Source organism: Homo sapiens, chromosome 7, assembly GCF_000001405.40.
Source record: "Homo sapiens chromosome 7, GRCh38.p14 Primary Assembly".
NCBI classification, from domain to species: domain Eukaryota; kingdom Metazoa; phylum Chordata; class Mammalia; order Primates; family Hominidae; genus Homo; species Homo sapiens.
This window is the reverse complement of record NC_000007.14, coordinates 28,692,082-28,709,618: the sequence shown is the minus strand read 5'-3', so window position 1 is coordinate 28,709,618 and position 17,537 is coordinate 28,692,082. Positions and strand designations below refer to the sequence as shown.

At 41.2% G+C, this 17,537-nt stretch overlaps 1 protein-coding gene across 13 annotated transcripts in view, besides 1 other annotated feature; it reads right to left on the bottom strand.

The window, feature by feature from the left end:
- CREB5 (cAMP responsive element binding protein 5) overlaps window positions 1-17,537 on the bottom strand; it is a 526,574-nt gene that overhangs the window by 116,276 nt on the left and 392,761 nt on the right. The window lies entirely within an intron of this gene.
- Window positions 4,779-4,848: an enhancer, noted in NCBI's record as "active region_25799". NCBI's record gives its function as "activates an Ori minimal core promoter by ATAC-STARR-seq in GM12878 lymphoblastoid cells {active_cell/tissue: GM12878}" and the evidence as "EXISTENCE:reporter gene assay evidence [ECO:0000049][PMID:35858748]".

The following is a 17,537-nucleotide window of genomic DNA, read 5'->3' as shown; positions in this document are numbered from 1 at the left end:
CTGCTGGAGACTTTGCCTTGTTTTATAGCATATACACTGCATCTACTTAGGCGGAGGAGATGTTTACTAGGGCTTTCAAGCGTTTTAAACACAGAGAGCAGTAATAGGAGGGGAGATCCGAATTTATGATCATTCTGTTAAGACTATTAAAGCAAACTTTTTTTGGCTTCTTTAGTGACTGATTTCTGCACCATTAATCTGAATTAGTCATGCAGTCAGCTTGATTCATTTATTAACCAAAAACCTGGCTGGATTGGTTTCTAATGTACTATTGTCAGAAAAAAAATCCATTTTCAAAATCTGATTTTTTTTTCCTTATAAAGAGTGAAAGGCTTTTTATAAAGACCTTTCATTAAAGACCCTAAAAGCCTGAACAGTTGGCTTTACCCATAGGTCAGACTTACAGACATGAAGAGATGGCTTTTCAATCAGCCAATAACTTCCCAGTTCCATCAATTATTCATAAAGTTACACTTAGAAAAGGCAAGTAAATGCAGACCAAAAGATGAAATAAAAGATGATTTTGAACGCAACTCAAATAAGTGCTGTACATCTGACTAGCTGGGAAAAAATATCCTCAGAAAGACATCTCTCAGTTAAATTTCTTTCCGTTGTGAGTTGTTAAAAAGATTCCTCCTTGCCTCACAAGGACAAATAAGTAGCCCTCTGATTATGAGTCTTGTCATTTACATGTGATTGCTGCTTGCATTCATTCACCATAAATGAATAATTCATGAAAACATTCACTGGCGCACTTGCCTGGGTATTCTGCAGAGGCAGAGAGCTCCCTGAGCTCACAGTCACACGGAGAGCCCCACCCCCATTCTGAGCTCCAAGTCAGCAATTCTGTTTAGGTTTGAGCTTGTCAGTTAGTGTATTTTAACGAATAATCTGTGGTGGAATCCACACCTAGCACAATCTTCCAATATCTATATTCCAAATAGATGACGGAATTTTGCAGCTGAATGGCAATAGCTCCAGCAGCAAGAGACTTCCATGAAAACAGAACTCTTATAAAAGATCTATTGGATCTTCCCGGCAGCCTCTGCTTATCCCGTGCCTCCTGCAAGGCTCTTCGATTCACTGCTGCCCTCACTCATGCTCTTATTTCACCTTTTCTCGAATCTCAAGGCAGGGTCTCTTCGGCAGTTTTCAAATATCTCTCCTGGGAGACCAAATTTATGACACCCTCCACCCAGCCACTCGCTGGGATTATTTCAGCTCTTTAAAAGGCAGCGCTAGAATTTATTAGCTCCACGATACATTGGCAGGGGAGGGATGTGTCGGTGGCCCAGAGGGAGTGGTTTTCAGCAGCTGTGACTACATGCATGGACTATGCAACCTTGGGCTGCTAAAAGCCTGATTTCTCAAGTTCTATTCTTAATGATAAAGTGATAGCGTGCTGAGAGGATCACTTATTCTCCAAGGAAACATGAACAAGGAAAGGGGCATTGCCTAACAAGGCTGAGCAAACTCTTCACTGGGTTATATCCTAACAGAGAGCTTCAGGCTCTATCTCAATCACCGCTGTGATCAAATCACCAAAAACCCTGGGATCAGAGTGAGGATTCCCAAAGGGATCCTTGTCAGGCATCATGGGGAGAAGGGGGAGGTGTGGAGAATTTGGAGAAGGTTCCAGAGAAGCATGAGAAAATACTAAAAAGCCGGAAGGGAAGACTTAATGGGAAAAGTAAAGGAAATAAGACTTCTTTAGCCCATGGGGGAGACATTAGAGAAGGCTGGCAGATAATGATGATGATCTTCAAAGTTGCAAATTACTATAATCTGAGAATGGTCACCAGTTACTTTCAAACACAACTGAAGCAGAATAGTAACAGTACATCAGCAGCATGTGGATTTAACTTAGAAAAGAATATCTCCCAAGAACAAATAGTGTAAAACAATTAAATGGCTAATAGAGATTTTGAAATTTCCTCTTCTTGGGCTCTTAAAAAATAGACTTGTCCCTGTCTGACTTGCTTTCTAGGGAGAAGGAGGAAGAACTGGCAAACCTCTCGGAGTCCTAAATTAGGTCTATTATTGTCACTTATTCCAGACATAGTGGCTGACAGAAATGATAGAGATAACGCTGACTCCCATCCTTAACCAGGAAATCCAATAAGGTAGCCTTGTGGGGCTGACAGGCATAGGCTTTTGGCCGCCTCCTGGCTCTGCCACCGACCAGGAGTGTGTGATCTTAGCAAGGCATCTAACTCCTCTGTTTTCTCATTGGCAAAAACTACGTGGCTGTAATATCCATGTCACAGGTATGGCATGAGAATGACTTTAGAGAATATTTTGAGTGTGCTTAGCCCTTTGAAGACGATCAATGCATAATCTATTTAAGAGATGAGTGATCTGCTGTAGAAAATACAGTTAATACAACTGTCATTTTAAAACACAAAGTAAAGCTATATTGTTCTAAATTTGGGGGTGAAGCATTTGGGGAAAAGACCCAGAAACACCCAGCCTCTCCGAGGGGTATGGGTGTCTCCTCCATTACTGTGAGTCCCCAGTTATCCCCCATCCTCTTCTCAGGGAAGCCGGCTTTCTCTCCATGCCAGACCCCTTACAGCAGGTACCAGTCTCTCTTCTAGGCTGAAGGGAGAATATTTGAGAGCACTGAGCTTGGCACACAATAGGAGCCCCACAGAGGTTTCTTAACAGACTTAACAACGTTACCTCATGGTCCACTATCTCTTATTTCCTGGCAGCTATACCCCTATGTCACATCCATGACAGTCATCTTTTTAAGGGCTATGATAACTTGAAACACTATCCTGATTTCTAGGGACAGTCAAGCTACCACTGGCTTGAACAGGGGGTATGGGGGAAGGGTGAAGTTTCTAGGAAACTGTGTGCTCTCTCTTGTGCAACCTTCCCTGAGCTACCTTGCAAGTTCTCCCACTTTGCAAGAGCACTTATCATGAAGCAGAATTGATATTAATCTGAAACACTTAGTAAAATAGTAGCAATAAAGCTCATAATAATGATACTTGGCATGTACTTTACACTTTGCATTCAAGGATCTCAAATGGCTTTTCAACCTGGCTTTGCTATTTTCCAAGCTACTCATGGACTGGACACACAAGCAAAGAAACCACTGAGTATGGCTTCCCTGTAGACAAAATTGATTCCATTATTAGGTTCTGAGATTGACACTGTGTCCAATCTATGTACATAAATACACCTGCTACATACAAACACCCACAGATACCTACATCCTAAAGGGCAAAAGTGCTAGAAAGATTTTTTTTTTTTTGAGATGGAGTTTTACTCTTGTTGCCCAGGCTGGAGTGCAATGGCACGATCTCAGCTCACTGCAACCTCTTTCCCCCAGGTTCAAGCAATTCTCCTGCCTCAGCCTCCTGAGTGCCTGGGATTACAGGCAACCATCACCATGCCCATCTAATTTTTTGTATTTTTAGTAGAGATGGGGTTTCGCCATGTTGGCCGAGCTGGTCTCGAACTCCGGACCTCAGGTGATCTACCCGCCTCGGCCTCCCAAAGTGTTGGGATTACAGGCGCAAGCCACTGCACCCGGCTGAAGATTTTTTTTTGTCTCAAACACACTTTTGCCTGTATTAGCAGGAGAAACTCTGGAACCCAGGTTTACATTTTAATGGACTTGTTTTATTTCGATATTTCTCTCAACCCTCTTCTCAGGGTATTTATAAGTACAATTGAAATGTCTGTGTCTGTTCATTAAAGGCATGGAATTTTAAAAGGCTTACTTTTCTTTTGAGTTCATTCTAAAGAATATTTTGTTTACGTTTAAATGATTACTTAAAAGCCACAAGGGGTTTATATAAAGTGTTTCTTCTAAGGTACTTTTCTCTTCCCTGGTGGCCCTGCATGTTGCCAAAGAGAGTGACTTGCTCAGTTTCTCAAATGATTCCTCAGACAGTCCTATTCCTACTTGCAAACAAATGTGGTATTTGGGGTTTCAAGTTTAAAATGCAATTTGGTATCATTTCAGATGTCTTCCTACAGCTTAATAAACATTTTCCCCAGAGGGACTTGGGGTCTGATTTTAATTTGTGGTAGGGTTATGGGCACAGTAAATGTCAATTTTAGCTATAGACAGTAAGTCCCTAGTATAAATAGAAACGGAAAGTGACTGACAGTACACTTAAAGAACATGCAAAACATTATGCTTGCTCACTGGCGGTAAGTGTTCCCCCAAAAATCCCTTCACTGGTCTGTCATGATAGCTTGGTTTTCTTTTCTTTCTTTCTTTTTTTTTTTTTTTTTGAGTCAGAGTCTCACTCTGTCACCCAGGCTGGAGTGCAGTGGTGAGTGATCTCGGCTCACTGCAACCTCTGCTTCCCGGGTTCAAGCAATTCTCCTGCCTCAGCCTCCTGAGTAGTTGGGATTACAGGTGGCTGCCACCACACCCAGCTAATTTTTGTATTTTTAGTAGAGATGAGGTTTCACCATGTTGGCCAGGCTGGTCTTGAACTCCTGACCTCGTGATCCGCCTGCCTTGGCCTCCCAAAGTGCTGGGATTATAGGCGTCAGCCACCATGCCCAGCCGATAGCTTGGTTTTTTTCTTCAGATTCCTGACCAGAACAGAAAGGCCAAATTGTGCTTTCTTAAGATGTGTCAACCTGATGATCACAAAATGACAAAGTGAAGTAACTGAGTCCTGCATGATATGGCTTTGAATATGAATACACCAGCAAGAGTGTCTACTGACTCAGCCAGTCATTTGCCTGGTGATCTAGGGCTGTGTCCTCAGTGCCTCTGAGTTTCTGTTTCCTCATGCACACACACACAAAAAATGGCTGAACCAACAATCTTCAAGGGCCTTTTCAACCCTAAAGTTAAATGAGTAGATATGATCAAGAGAGAGTAATCCGGCTGGGTGCAGTGGCTCACATCTGTAATCCCAGTGTTTTGGGAGGCTGAGGCGGGAGGATCTCTTGATCCCAGGTGTTTCAGACAAGCCTGGGCAACTTAGCAAGATCTCATCTTAACAAAAAATTTAAAAATGAGCCAGGCATGGTGGGGTGCCTGTAGTACTAGCTACTTGGGAGGCTAAGGTGGGAGGATCACTTGAGCCCAGGAGTTTGAAGACACAGTGAGCTATGATCGTGTCACTGCAGAAACAGAGACTCTGTCTTAAAAAAAAAAAGTGAGAGATCCAGAACTATTATTTATTTCAGGGAAGCAACACGTCAGTTAAAGGTAGATTTTCCTCAAAGGTGGACACATATAGATGAGTAATTCCTTACTGGTTGTTCTTGGACTTTCCTTTCCTTGAACAAAAGAAAGGCTCAAATGATCTCTGAGTGCAAGTAACATTTAGCTGAGGAGGGCAGCAGGAACCAGGAATCGTGACAGGTAGGCGAGGAGGTCATTTCTTCTCACATATGAACAATAATCCTTTGGATGAGCAGGAAATAAAGGTTTCACTCTTTGTGCACTAGAATAAGTAATTTATTAGTAAGCACAATGACATCTTTTAGGAGAGGTAGGACAGGTCCCCAAATAAGCAGTTCTGTCTTTTCAGTGTTGGAGCCATCAGACTCATTGGGACTAGGTTTAAACTGGACATTTTGAGAATGATGAAAATCCTCCAGGTCTGCCAGGAAAAACATTTCACTACTTCATAGTAGATGATACCTGACACCACCTGCTAAAGAGCTAAGATGACATTCCCTAAGTGCCTAGGTTGAGTCCTATGGATGATCCAGTCCATGGTGCCTGTGATGGTAGGTTTTATGTCAACTTGACTGGGCCATGGGTTGCCCAGATATCTGGTTAAACATTATTTCTGAGTGCACCTATAAGGTTGTTTCTGGAAGGGATTAACATTTGAATTGGTAGACTGAGTAATGCAGTATACCTTCCCCAATGTGGGTGGGCTTCATCTAATCCATTGAGGACCTGAATAGAAGAAAAAGGTGGAGGAAGGTTGAGTTATCTCTCTCTCTGCCTGATTGCTTGAGCTGGGACATCTGTCTTCTCCTGACCTTAGTCTGGGAGCAACACCATTGGTGCTTCTGGTTCTCAGGCCTTCAGAATCCAATTGGAATTTACACCATCTGCTTTTCTGGGTCTCCAGCTGGCAGATGGCAGATCATGGGGCTTTTTAGCTTCCATAATCTGGTGAGTCAATTCCTTATAATAAACCATATATCTCTCTCTCTTTTTGGTCTGTTTTTCTGGAGAACCCTGACTAGTACAGTGCTCCGTCTTTAGATCTTTCCCCTCATATTTCCTTAAATATATTTGGTAGAAGTGAATTAGCAGAATTTAGTCATTAACTTTGAGATTCCTCATCTTGTACTTCTAATCATTCACCAAGTTCTATTCACTCCACCCCCAAAATAGACCTGGAGTGTATCCACTTGGCTCCATCCCTACTGCCAAGATCCTAGTCCAAAACACAGTGTTGTTTCTCTTGGTTTCTTCCAACAGTTTCTGACTCCAGTTTTGCTCTTCTTCTATCCAAACTCTGTCTTGTAGCCAGAATGATCTTCATAAACCAAAGATCTGGTCATGACATTTCCCTGTTCAACATTCTTGCATGATTTTCCTTAGCATTTAGGATGTTTTTTCAGTATCTTTTATATGTTCTACCTCATTGATGCCTGTAGTACTATCTTTCCACCTGGCTTGAAAGGGTCTATCCACCCAAGCTTCCATTCATTTCCTAGAATGTGCCACACTCTTTCCCACCCCAGGGCCTTGAAGCATCTTTTGATCTTTGCCTGGAAGGTTTTGCCGTCTGCTCTTTTGTTGACAAATTCTCATTCATCCTTTAGGTCTCCTTTTAAATATCTCTTTCTTAAAATTTTCTTTGACCCCCAAATTAAAGGCCAAATCTAGCAACCACAAAGTTAAAGGGTCACATAGGCCCCTGTGGTTTTCCTTCATGCTATTTCTAATAACATATTAATAGGTATGGTTATTTTGTTTAGTATCCATCTCTGTGATTAGTCTCAAATCTCCCTGGAGGCAGGGGCTATGCATTTGGGTAAAATCATTCTGGTTTCCTTTCACCATTGGGAAAATGTACGCTTACTTTCTGGAGGACACTGCTCCGTCTGGATGGAGAAGCAGAAAGGAGAACATCATAACATAGTTGGAAAGGCTTCTAGAAGTGAACAAGATTGATCCAACATAAGTGAGCACCGGAGTGCTTGCCTCATGATATTGGTAATAGATCTTTCTGCTTTTCTGAAGCCTGAGGCTATTTCTCTTGACAAGCACAAAAGTGAAAATGCCAAATGGAAATGTTTTCTTTCCAAGGCTTATAATTTTGCTTTCGGGTAATACTGAAACATTCAAGTGTTCTTACGAAAGTTAAGTGCTTTCCATTTTCACCATGGTTTCAGTTGTTGAAGCTCTCCAGAAGGATCAAAACCTATAACTTTTATATAAAATTCCCAAGCATCAAATATATATGCCAAACAAACCTCTTTAATTAAAATAAGGCTGAAAGAGCTATAATTATAAGTGCCACGGACTGCTATTCCTTATAAGGAAGAAAACTGAAAAAAGACCTTCTGTTATATTACTCAAAAACAAAGCAAACAAAATCAATGATTTCAAAGTCTAGCATGGCTGAGAAAATTCATTTTCTTAATATGGATTGAACTTCAGAGTGATAGGGCAGAGTGGACATACAAGAATGACTGTCTACAGCAAACTTCTGGCAGACTCTTTGGCCTATTGGTTCACAGCCAGTATTTGTCTTCATAAATGAATTCCACATCTTTATTAAGTTAAGTATTTCTCTTTTTATTATTTGAAACATACTTTAAATATTTTGTTTTACAACGTCCTGGAAACTGATACAATTCCTTCCAGATCAAGGAAGATGGTAAAAAATCAATTATATTTTTTTACTTATGGAGCAATTACAAAAAAATTATGCTCCAATTTATCCATTACTATAACTATCATTTGATGTCATATGTGAACAACTTGGGCAGCTGGAATGGAAGGTGTCCTTCTGACTAGGTAATTTTTCAAAGAGCTCTAAGTGACTATTAGATAGAAATATATACCCCTAGTTTGAGTTGATTTGTAGACGAGTATGTAGTAAGAATTATAGATTTTAAATTGGAATCAACCTTTTATAAGAAAAACCCCTGCAAGAACCAACCAAAACACATCAAAAGCCTGAAGTGAGCTTCTAATGTCAGATCCTTTACAGAAGCAAGTCACAGTTTGTACTTTACAGAATAAATCTTATTAAAATGAATTTTATCTGCCATTGATGGAATTTCAAAGTTGGCCCATTTACAAATGAGTTAATTGGCTTTATCCAAAATAAGAGGGATTTTGGGGGGCCATTTAAATCATTAGAATCACTGGTTCAGGGTGCAGAGAAGGGCTGGGCTTCATCTCCCCAGCACCCGCAGAAACTAGACTTGTCTTCCCTGCGCCTCAGAACCCAGTTCTCAAAGCCTCCTAATGGGTTTCACTGTTTTCTTTCCAGTGCTTATCATAATCAGGGAGCTGCACATTTGCATCCCTAATGGACCTTTTTCAAAAGTGTGTTGACATTTCAGTAGGTTTCGAATAGCTCTTAATGCTTCTCTCAAGTTGGGCAGGTGCCCACAAATCTCCTTATATGGGTCTCCACATATAGACTGTCTACTTTACTCACAGGGTTGGTGGGTTGTTTTTTTTTTTTTTTTTAAATCCCTGGGAACCTATCTTAATTATACTCTTAAAAAAATGAAAACTCAGAAGTTAGATGACTCAGAAAATGACCATCTAGCTGGATGCCTACACGCAGGGCAGCATCGTAACTCTATCTGTGAAACTTAGGCCTGAGTTAAAAGTATCCTCCCTTGTGTGGTAGATTCACTTTTTGGAGCTTCTATTTTTATCGAAAGGAAATAGATATAAATAAGGCCATCAAGATAAACACAGGTTACAGGAGAGAGTTGAAATCAAGCAGGAAGCTCATCATCTGAGCACAAACTCCCCTGCGTTTTACTCCTCACTTTTCCTAGGAGTACTAAGAACTCAGAAAGCCTGCAGAGGGCCGATTTTAGTCCCACCTAACTTTGTGTGACTTCAATAAACATTCGATCCAACAGAAACACAGCTAAAATTATTTTTAAAGTTTTTTTGTTGTTGTTGTTAAACTTTTACTCAGCTTCTGCTGTATCTCGGGAACTGTGCTGAGAGCCTAGCGTGAATAAAAGATCATTGCTGCCCTGCAGGAATTCATCATTTATGAAGGCAAATAGCCAAGGAAGTCAGCTGAGGGTGTAATGGGAGATACCCCTCAAAGTGTTATTTAATACCCCGGGGGTTCCAGGGGATGGTCCTCGAAGAGGAGACATATGAATTGTTCCAGGAAAGATGAGAAGTTAGCCCTGCATCGTGGGAACATGCATGCATGTGTGTGTGTGCTTGTGCGCGTGTGTGAGTTGGAGAGATATTGGTAGCAGGGCTCCAGGCAGAGCTTACTGTCTGTGCAAGGCAGGTTGTTAAAATATGTCAACAAAGGCCAAGAAGATATTAAACAACTACTGTCATTCATAGCTTAATAACATGAAAACGATCTCTGGATGATAACAATCCTTTCTAGGAATATCGACTGTCTGATGTACGTCCCATTTAGGTGATGCCCTTGTATACACCAAATTGGGAACTATATACATATAAAAATGTTAAAACTGATTTCCCAGTATTTCAGGTAGATGGCTGAGTTACAAATTAAAAGAACCATTTGATAGACTGTTCTGCACACTTTGGTCGTTTTTGCATTAGAGAGAGACATTTGGGGTAAGTGGGAGGGAGGCACTGGAGCTCTTGGGCAGGGGACTCGGTATTTTTCAGAGCGAAAAAACCCCTTCTTGGCCCTATTGTTCTACATTAAGCTGCTTTGGAAAAGGTAAAAATAGAGCCATAATTTGGCCCTACTATTTCTGTTTCTAAAAAGCCTTTTCCAAGACAGAAAGTTGATATAACTTTTTTTCACTCCAGTATTTCCAGTTTTCATTTATACAGTTCAATAAATATAGATAAGCATAAGTTGGTGGGAGTCAGCGGGTAGATTTTAACAATCACTGTTATGCACTATCTTCCCTGGAAGTACTGAAAGTGGTTTTCTGAGTTTAATGTGACATTTCCTCTCCCTTTTAGGTACTGCTTTTGCAACAAATTAATTTTGGTTCCCAGAGAGCACACTCCTACCTCAAAGTGCTGTGTGAGATGCTCCCCTAACAAGATAATAAATAGATTTGTCCATGACTTCCAGCATAGAATTAAAACATATAGATTTAAAGATAGCTTTTTCTTGGTCTACGATGAATTGAAATCTTTTGAAAAAATACATTGTTATCTCCTAGTTTCTTTCTTTTCTTTTTTTCACTTTCACAGGGCAGCAAAGTTAATACTCTAGTTTCTAAACCGATATTGGCAGTCACTGAATACGCCCTTTCTTTCAAATGAAAAAAAAAAAAAGAAGAAGAAAGGAAGAAAGGAAGGAAGGAAGGAAGGAAGCAAACCTTGGTCATCCTGGCTTAAATATGAAAATGAAACAAGAGTATGAGACAAGGCAGCCTCACAGAGCAAATGGCCCAGCCCATGGCTTCCCACCCAGTCCCTCTCCCTCCCTTATTGTGAGTATCTCGCTCAAAACCCACTTCTGTGCTTTTGCATATGAAAAATGAGGCTGTAAAAGGGTCAGCCTGTAAAAGGCATAGCTAGTAAAAAATAATTGGAGGGCATTGAATACAGACGATGTGCACCGTTCATAAGATAATTAGTCCCGGGATCCTTACTATGTTGCTCCTGATGTTCCTCATGCCAGGAAGAATTCTGAGGTGTGGAGAAATTATAACACAGCTTACTCAACAGAGAAGCTATAACAGAATGCACATTTCCAAGACCATTCCCAGCAACTTGAAAGCCTCATCCCATGTCTTGCCTTCATAAAACATAGCATTTCCACAATGTGGCTGTTTTAATAAACCAATGAATAGTTCTCTCCAATCTGTTTGCTTTTAGTGAACTTATTTTCTTTCCCCAAAGAAGCTGGCACTATAATGTCAGACAAATGTCTAGAATAACCATGCACTGCTCTGGACACCAGTGAATAAAATATAGCAAATACTGCCTATCCTCATGGTGCATTATTCCACTTAGAAAATGGTATAATTGGATAGTATTGGGAGGGGACTCATGTATTTTTGAGTCGTGGGGTTATTTTCTGGTAATTGCCTGACTCGAAACTTTAATCAGGAAGTTCTCTTAGCCCTGTGAGTGTGTTTTTTTTTTTTTTTTTGGTGGGGAGTGGGGTTTGGGGGATGAGGAAGAGAGACTATTAAAGAATTGAGAAAATGGCTAAGTCCCGCAGGCCTTTTTTTCTTGTCATACAGTTGTTGTCAAAAAGATTCACTATTATGTCTGGGGATAGGGAAACTCAATGGCATTTTGCGTTCGGTAAAAATGTCTCAAACCATTTTTCAAACATTTTGAGGTTTGGCACAAACCTGAAATCCATCTTGCCAAGCACTTTCCCCCCTTAATTCTTAAACCCATGTGTCTTTCAAGGGAAATTTAATCCGTATGTTTCTGATTCATTTACACTTAACTCATCAAAATGGTGTTTTGTAAGAGCTATTTGATGTTCAAGAAGTCTTATGAGCTTCTCTTTTTATAAGTCTGAAAAGCCTTTCTTTTTGAGAACCCAGAAAATTGTATTTTACCAGCTGTAGGCCAAATGATTTGAGCTGTGTTAAAAATCAAGAACCTGCTGAATTTAGGAGGCAAACAGCAGACACAATGACATAAATAAACATCCACACGTGTCCACCTGCTCATACATCAACTGAAGACCTTTCTAACTCATTCCTTCCCTGAAGAAGTCTATCTCTTAAGGCCAAAGAACAAATGACAACGCTGAGGCAGAAAAGAACGATGGTCCTACAGCAAAAATCCCCATTGGTTCTGGAGATTCCCAATTGCGATTCCTAGCTCAGAATCCATGGAAATAAATCAGATTGCATTTTGTTAGATGAATCTATTACCTAAGAAATAAATTAATCATTGAAGGCCAGAACTAGATGGATGTCATGAAATTTCTAATCCAGTAGGATTTGGATTTTGTTGCAAGGACCTCTGGGAGGGGGTGGGGGTGACTTACGGGAGGAGATATGGACCAGTCAGGGATCTGTTTTCCATAATGGGCTTTTCCACAAGAGGATTTCTTAAAAAGTAGTCTGAGGGTACCCTCAGTTTGAAAACAAAATACCTTAATTTTATATGAGGACACAGAGTTTGGGGAAAGGAATCTAGGAGTTGGGACAAAACTTGAAATACAACCCAGGTCCCCTGATCCTTGCCCAGCATTCTGGTGGCCTTTCTATGATACCAGTGTGTTTCCAATGCTGACTGCACTTCATTAGGGGGCCAATTCATGAGAAATTGGTGAAATCAGCTTAATCTGACATTATCAGCATTTTAGAACAATAGATACATATCTAATATATCAGATATCCAAATAATGTTATACGCAGTAAAAATTAAGTATTATTCCATAAAAATTGTGTGTGTGTATATATAAATATGTATGTGTGCATATTATACACATAATCCAATGTACATATGTGTGTATATAAATATATACACATGTATATATTTCCATGGGTATATATACACACAAATATATATATGTGTGTATAACACATATACACACATATATGTGAAGTATATATACACATATATGTGTGTATGTAATGTGAGTATGTGTGTATATACATTACACATTACATACACACATATACGTATGTGTATATATACGTATGTGTATGTATACGTATACGTATGTGTATATATACGTATACGTATACGTATGTGTATATATATGTATATGTGTGTATGTAGTGTGTGTATATGTGTATACATGTGTACATATGTATATATGTGTAGGTGTATATATATGTGTACATATATATGCATATGTGTGAGTATACTGGGCTGTGATACAGAATATATTTCCCACTATTGCTCATATCAAAAAAATTTAAAAACTACTATACAGAAAACCACATTTTCTTCCCGGATGGTTCAGCCAATAGTGGTTTTCAATTTGCCTCATTAAAGATCACGTGGCTGGAAAAACCCTATAAGATCCTTCTCACTTCAGTAGAAGAAATGGTACAAAACACTGGCCCATTTCAAAGGGAGCTTAAATACACAGCTCAGAAGAAACGAATGAAGAAAAAGAGGAGGAGGAGGACAGATAACTCTTTGAGAAAAGAAAGGGTCATATCCATCTTCCTATGCTTTACAAATGGCAGGAAGGATTTCTGATTTGCATTCAGTGCATCCGCACAGCTGAAGATGCAGACATATGAGCCCCAGCATAGTTCCACAGTGCATTTTCCAAGCACTTAACAATCATTAATTAGTTAGAAACATCCTTTCAAGGTCGGGAGGCACAATAGTTCATCTCCACACAACAGAGCTTTGGAGGCTCCCAGGCAGCCGAATGGTACGGCACCTGGGTAATGACTGTGGGAAGACTAATTGGGTTAACTGGCTGTGAAGAATCTTGTGAAAATGCTGCTCCACTGCACTGTCAGATGTCAGAGAAGGCCAGCGTCCTTTGTGCCTAACAGCTGAAAGCTGCCTCCATGGGAAAGGATGCAAAGTCATTAAAACAACTATGAATTACCCTTTGCTCTCTTTTTTTTCAGAATCATAATGAAGTGACAAGTTTTCTGTGGTCACAAAGTGCTGGAGTCTCTTTGGGATTAAAGTGCAAAGTGGGGCTGTTTGGGAATTGTGGTCTAAAACTGTTCCCTAGGTGGGGAGGAAGAGGGAGGAAGCAGTGTGTTCAGAGCCCAGAGGTCACATCCTGCAGGTGGGTGGGTGCTGGTTCTGGGGCAGCTTCCAAGCTCTGTCCTCATCAGACATGCACTCAGTGTAGCCAGGGCTCAGGCATGGAGAGGGAGGAGAGAAGAGAGTGGTGGGAAGCAAAGAGCTGGACTCCAGGACATTTACCCCAATGCTATTAGGGCCCACAACTTCTGGCCCACTAACTAGACCCCAGTGGGGCTGATGGCTGGAGGCAAAAAGCAAGCTATCTTGTGGCCTCTGCACCCCTCTCTCCAGACCAGAGGGAGGAGTCTCTGCACAGCTGCCTGAATGATTTCCAGAGTCTCAAGGGCCTGCCTGTTGGTTGCTCCCTCCCACCCCACCATCCCCAGGAGTCAGAATTCAAAAAGGGACTGCAAAGCATTAGCCTGGGCAATATGACAGAATTCCTGGCACCAGGAAGCTCACTGGCCTGGCAGGGCAGAAATGTGCTCCTCACCGCCTTAGAGCTTGGTCTGGGCACTGACACCAATGGTTTTATGATATAGAATAACTCTCTTCACATTTTTGGATGGCTTCAGTTTCCCTCCCTCCCTCCTGTCTAGCTCTGTGGCCCAGGCTGTAGTGCAATGGTGCCATCATGACTCACTGCAGCCTGGAACTACCGGGCTCAAGTGATCCTCCTGCTTCAGTCTCCCAAGTGGCTGGGACCACAGGTGCATGATACCATGCCCGGCTAATTTTTTAATTTTTTTTGTAGAGATGGGGTCTCCCTACATTGCTCAGACTAGCCTCAAACTCTCGGGCTCAAGCTATTCTCCCATCTTGGCCTCCCGAATTGCATGCTGTGATTACAAGAGTTAGCCATTGTGCCTGGCCTTTGATTTCTTAATCTGTAAGGTGAACGGGTTGGGTTGAAACATCAATCTTTAGGTTCTGGCTTCATCAGTGCATTTAGAATTATAAGACTGGGTCAGGCTAAGTAGCTCACGCCTATAACCCTGGCTACTCAGGAGGCTGAGGTGGGAGGATTGCTAGAGTCCAGGAATCTGAGACTAGCCTGGGCTACATAGGGATACCCAGTCTCCACAAAAAAATTAAAAACATAGCCAATGTGTAGTGGTGTGCACCTGTAGCTCCAGCTACTTCAGGAGGCTGAGGCAGGAAGACCATTTGACCCCAAGAGTTCGAGGCTGCAGTGAGCTGTGATTGTGTCACTGGGTGACAAAGCGAGACCCTGTCGCTAAAGAAAAATTTTAAAAAAAGAATTATAAGATGATTATTCTACTACTAAGGAAGTTCTGGATGGTGAGAGCAAATTCAAATCAAATGACGTTCCCTGTGACCTGTACACGTCACAGGGAGCTTCCTGCTTGCCCTCAGAGGAAGGAAATGGCAAAAAGCAGCCATGTACTGAACTAGGGCAAGAGCTGAACTCAGAAAAATAATCTGGCTATAGAGAGGCCACTGCATGATCCATATTAGGGTGGATGCTGGTGAGAGCAAAACTAAAGGCGAAAATGCTACGCAAGAGCAATTTACAACTACATTTACACTAAATGGGTTTATTATAATTGCTGTTATTATGATTAATTTCAGAGGAATTAAATGGGATCAGTCCTTTATTGCAAAGTGTTGCTGAGCTGACGGAAGTGTTAGATAAATAAGAAGGTCAAGAAGAGGCAGATGCAAAAGAAGTTACTCTATGCCATCTAAAAAAGAAATCTACTACTTAACAAAAAGCGGTGAAAAAAGACCCTGCTCTTTTGATGTTGAAATAAACTACAGTACATTAAAGTGAGAGCTGAAACCTCGTTTTCTGACCAATGGCATGTACAGCCAGAAGTATGATTCTCTCTTCACCTCTCCACCCACTCATGACCTCACCTGCATTCTGTGACTTGGTTTACCTTTCTTGGAAGGAACTGTTACATGACAATATTTCTCTCTACATTATTAATGCCCAAAATATATTATTATCCAGACTTCCAAAGAAGTCAACTGGCTCCATTATTAAATAACTAACATTTGCTGAGCACTTACTATGCTAAGTGTATTATGCTCTTATGAATTCCATTTCATAAATGAAGTAACCGAGGCTCAGAAAGCTTCAATAGATTGTCAAAAATCACATAATTAGCAAATGGCAAAGCCAGAGTTTGCCCCCAGGTCTGTCTGACTCCAAAACAATCCACAGGGCCCAATCTCATCTGGCCATATTGATTACGAGTAATTAGGCTTCCCCTCTCTGCACAAAAGCTTGTTTTGCAGACATTTTTTTTCTTTTTTTTTTTTTAAGCAGTGATACAAGCCCCATTGAGGGCAGAGGGGCAGAGCCAAGTGGGCAGACAGGCCCAAAAGGCTGCAAGAGGGCCAGCTGGACTGTCTGCCGTGTCAGCACATGGGTGCAGCCCAACGTGACTTCAATTCAAGATCTTTGATTTGCAAAATAAAAAGTTGATGGACTCCTAAAACATAGTAATTCATGGTAGCCATTCCAGTTCACACAATGCAGTCTCCTGACCCTATTTTCCCGTTAAGACGAGTAATCAAATCTATGCATTAATAGATACCTTGACATTCACTGGGGGCCATATGATTGCTTTTTCTAGGCTTTGCTTTTTGGACACATCCAGTTCTATTTTAGTTATTCAGATGGAAAATAGAAAAAAAACCATAAAGCAGAATTCAGTTTTTTGGTACCATGTGAAGAGAGAGAAAGAAAGACTTTGTTGCTAGCTAGATGGGTCTTGGCTATTGTCTAACTACTGTCCCACTCTCCATAATAATTGCAAACTATTGATTAATTCTTCTTGGGTACAGCATTGCCTCATCAATCATTAAATGAGTTCTCTTGCCAGCGCAGGTACAGGAAGGAAAGATGTATGGACTTGTGTTAAAGTGTTTGCGTACTATGGAGTGGATTTTGGAGTGCTAAGTCAATTTCAGTTTTCAAAGGTGTGTAAGTCTTTAAGAAATTACTCTTGTTGTAACCCAAACTCATGAAATGCATGCCTCTTAAAGCACCCAGTCTTTTTTGTTGTTTTTTTTGAGATGGAGTTGCTCTCTCACCCAAGCTGTTGTGCAGTGGTGCGATCTCGGCTCACTGCAACCTCTGCCTCCCAGGTTCAAGAGATTCTCATGCCTCAGCTTCTGGAGTAGCTGGAATTACAGGCATGTGCCACCATGCCCGAGGTTGGCCTGGTTATCCTCAATTTACAGAGAAGATAGAAACTGTGGCACAGAGAGGTGAAGTGGTTTGTCAAAGTCACACAACCAGTAAGTAGAAGAGTGATTGAATCCAGGCCTTTTAAATCCCAAAGGCCATGCTCTTTTCAGGAGACCCCACCCTGCTTCTCTGATTAGTAGATGCCTGTATTTTTAGTAGAGACAGGGTTTCACCACATTGGCCAGGCTGGTCTTGAACTCCCGACCTCAAGTGATCTGCCTGCCTTGGCCTCCCAAAATGCTGGGATTACAGTCATGCGTCACCACCTCTGGCCACACCTCTAGCTGCAATCCAATGTAAAAGGAGTCCCCTTTGAAGGTCAGAATCCCAAAAAACCAAACAAAAAGGGAGCAGAAAGGAGAAGCCAGTGCTTTATTCCACAGCTGCTGCTTTTTTTTTTTTGGAGACGGAGTCTCGCTCTGTGATCCAGGCTGGAGTGCAGTGGCAGGATCTTGGCTCACTGCAACCTCTGCCTCCCAGGTTCAAGCAATTCTCCTGCCTCAGCCT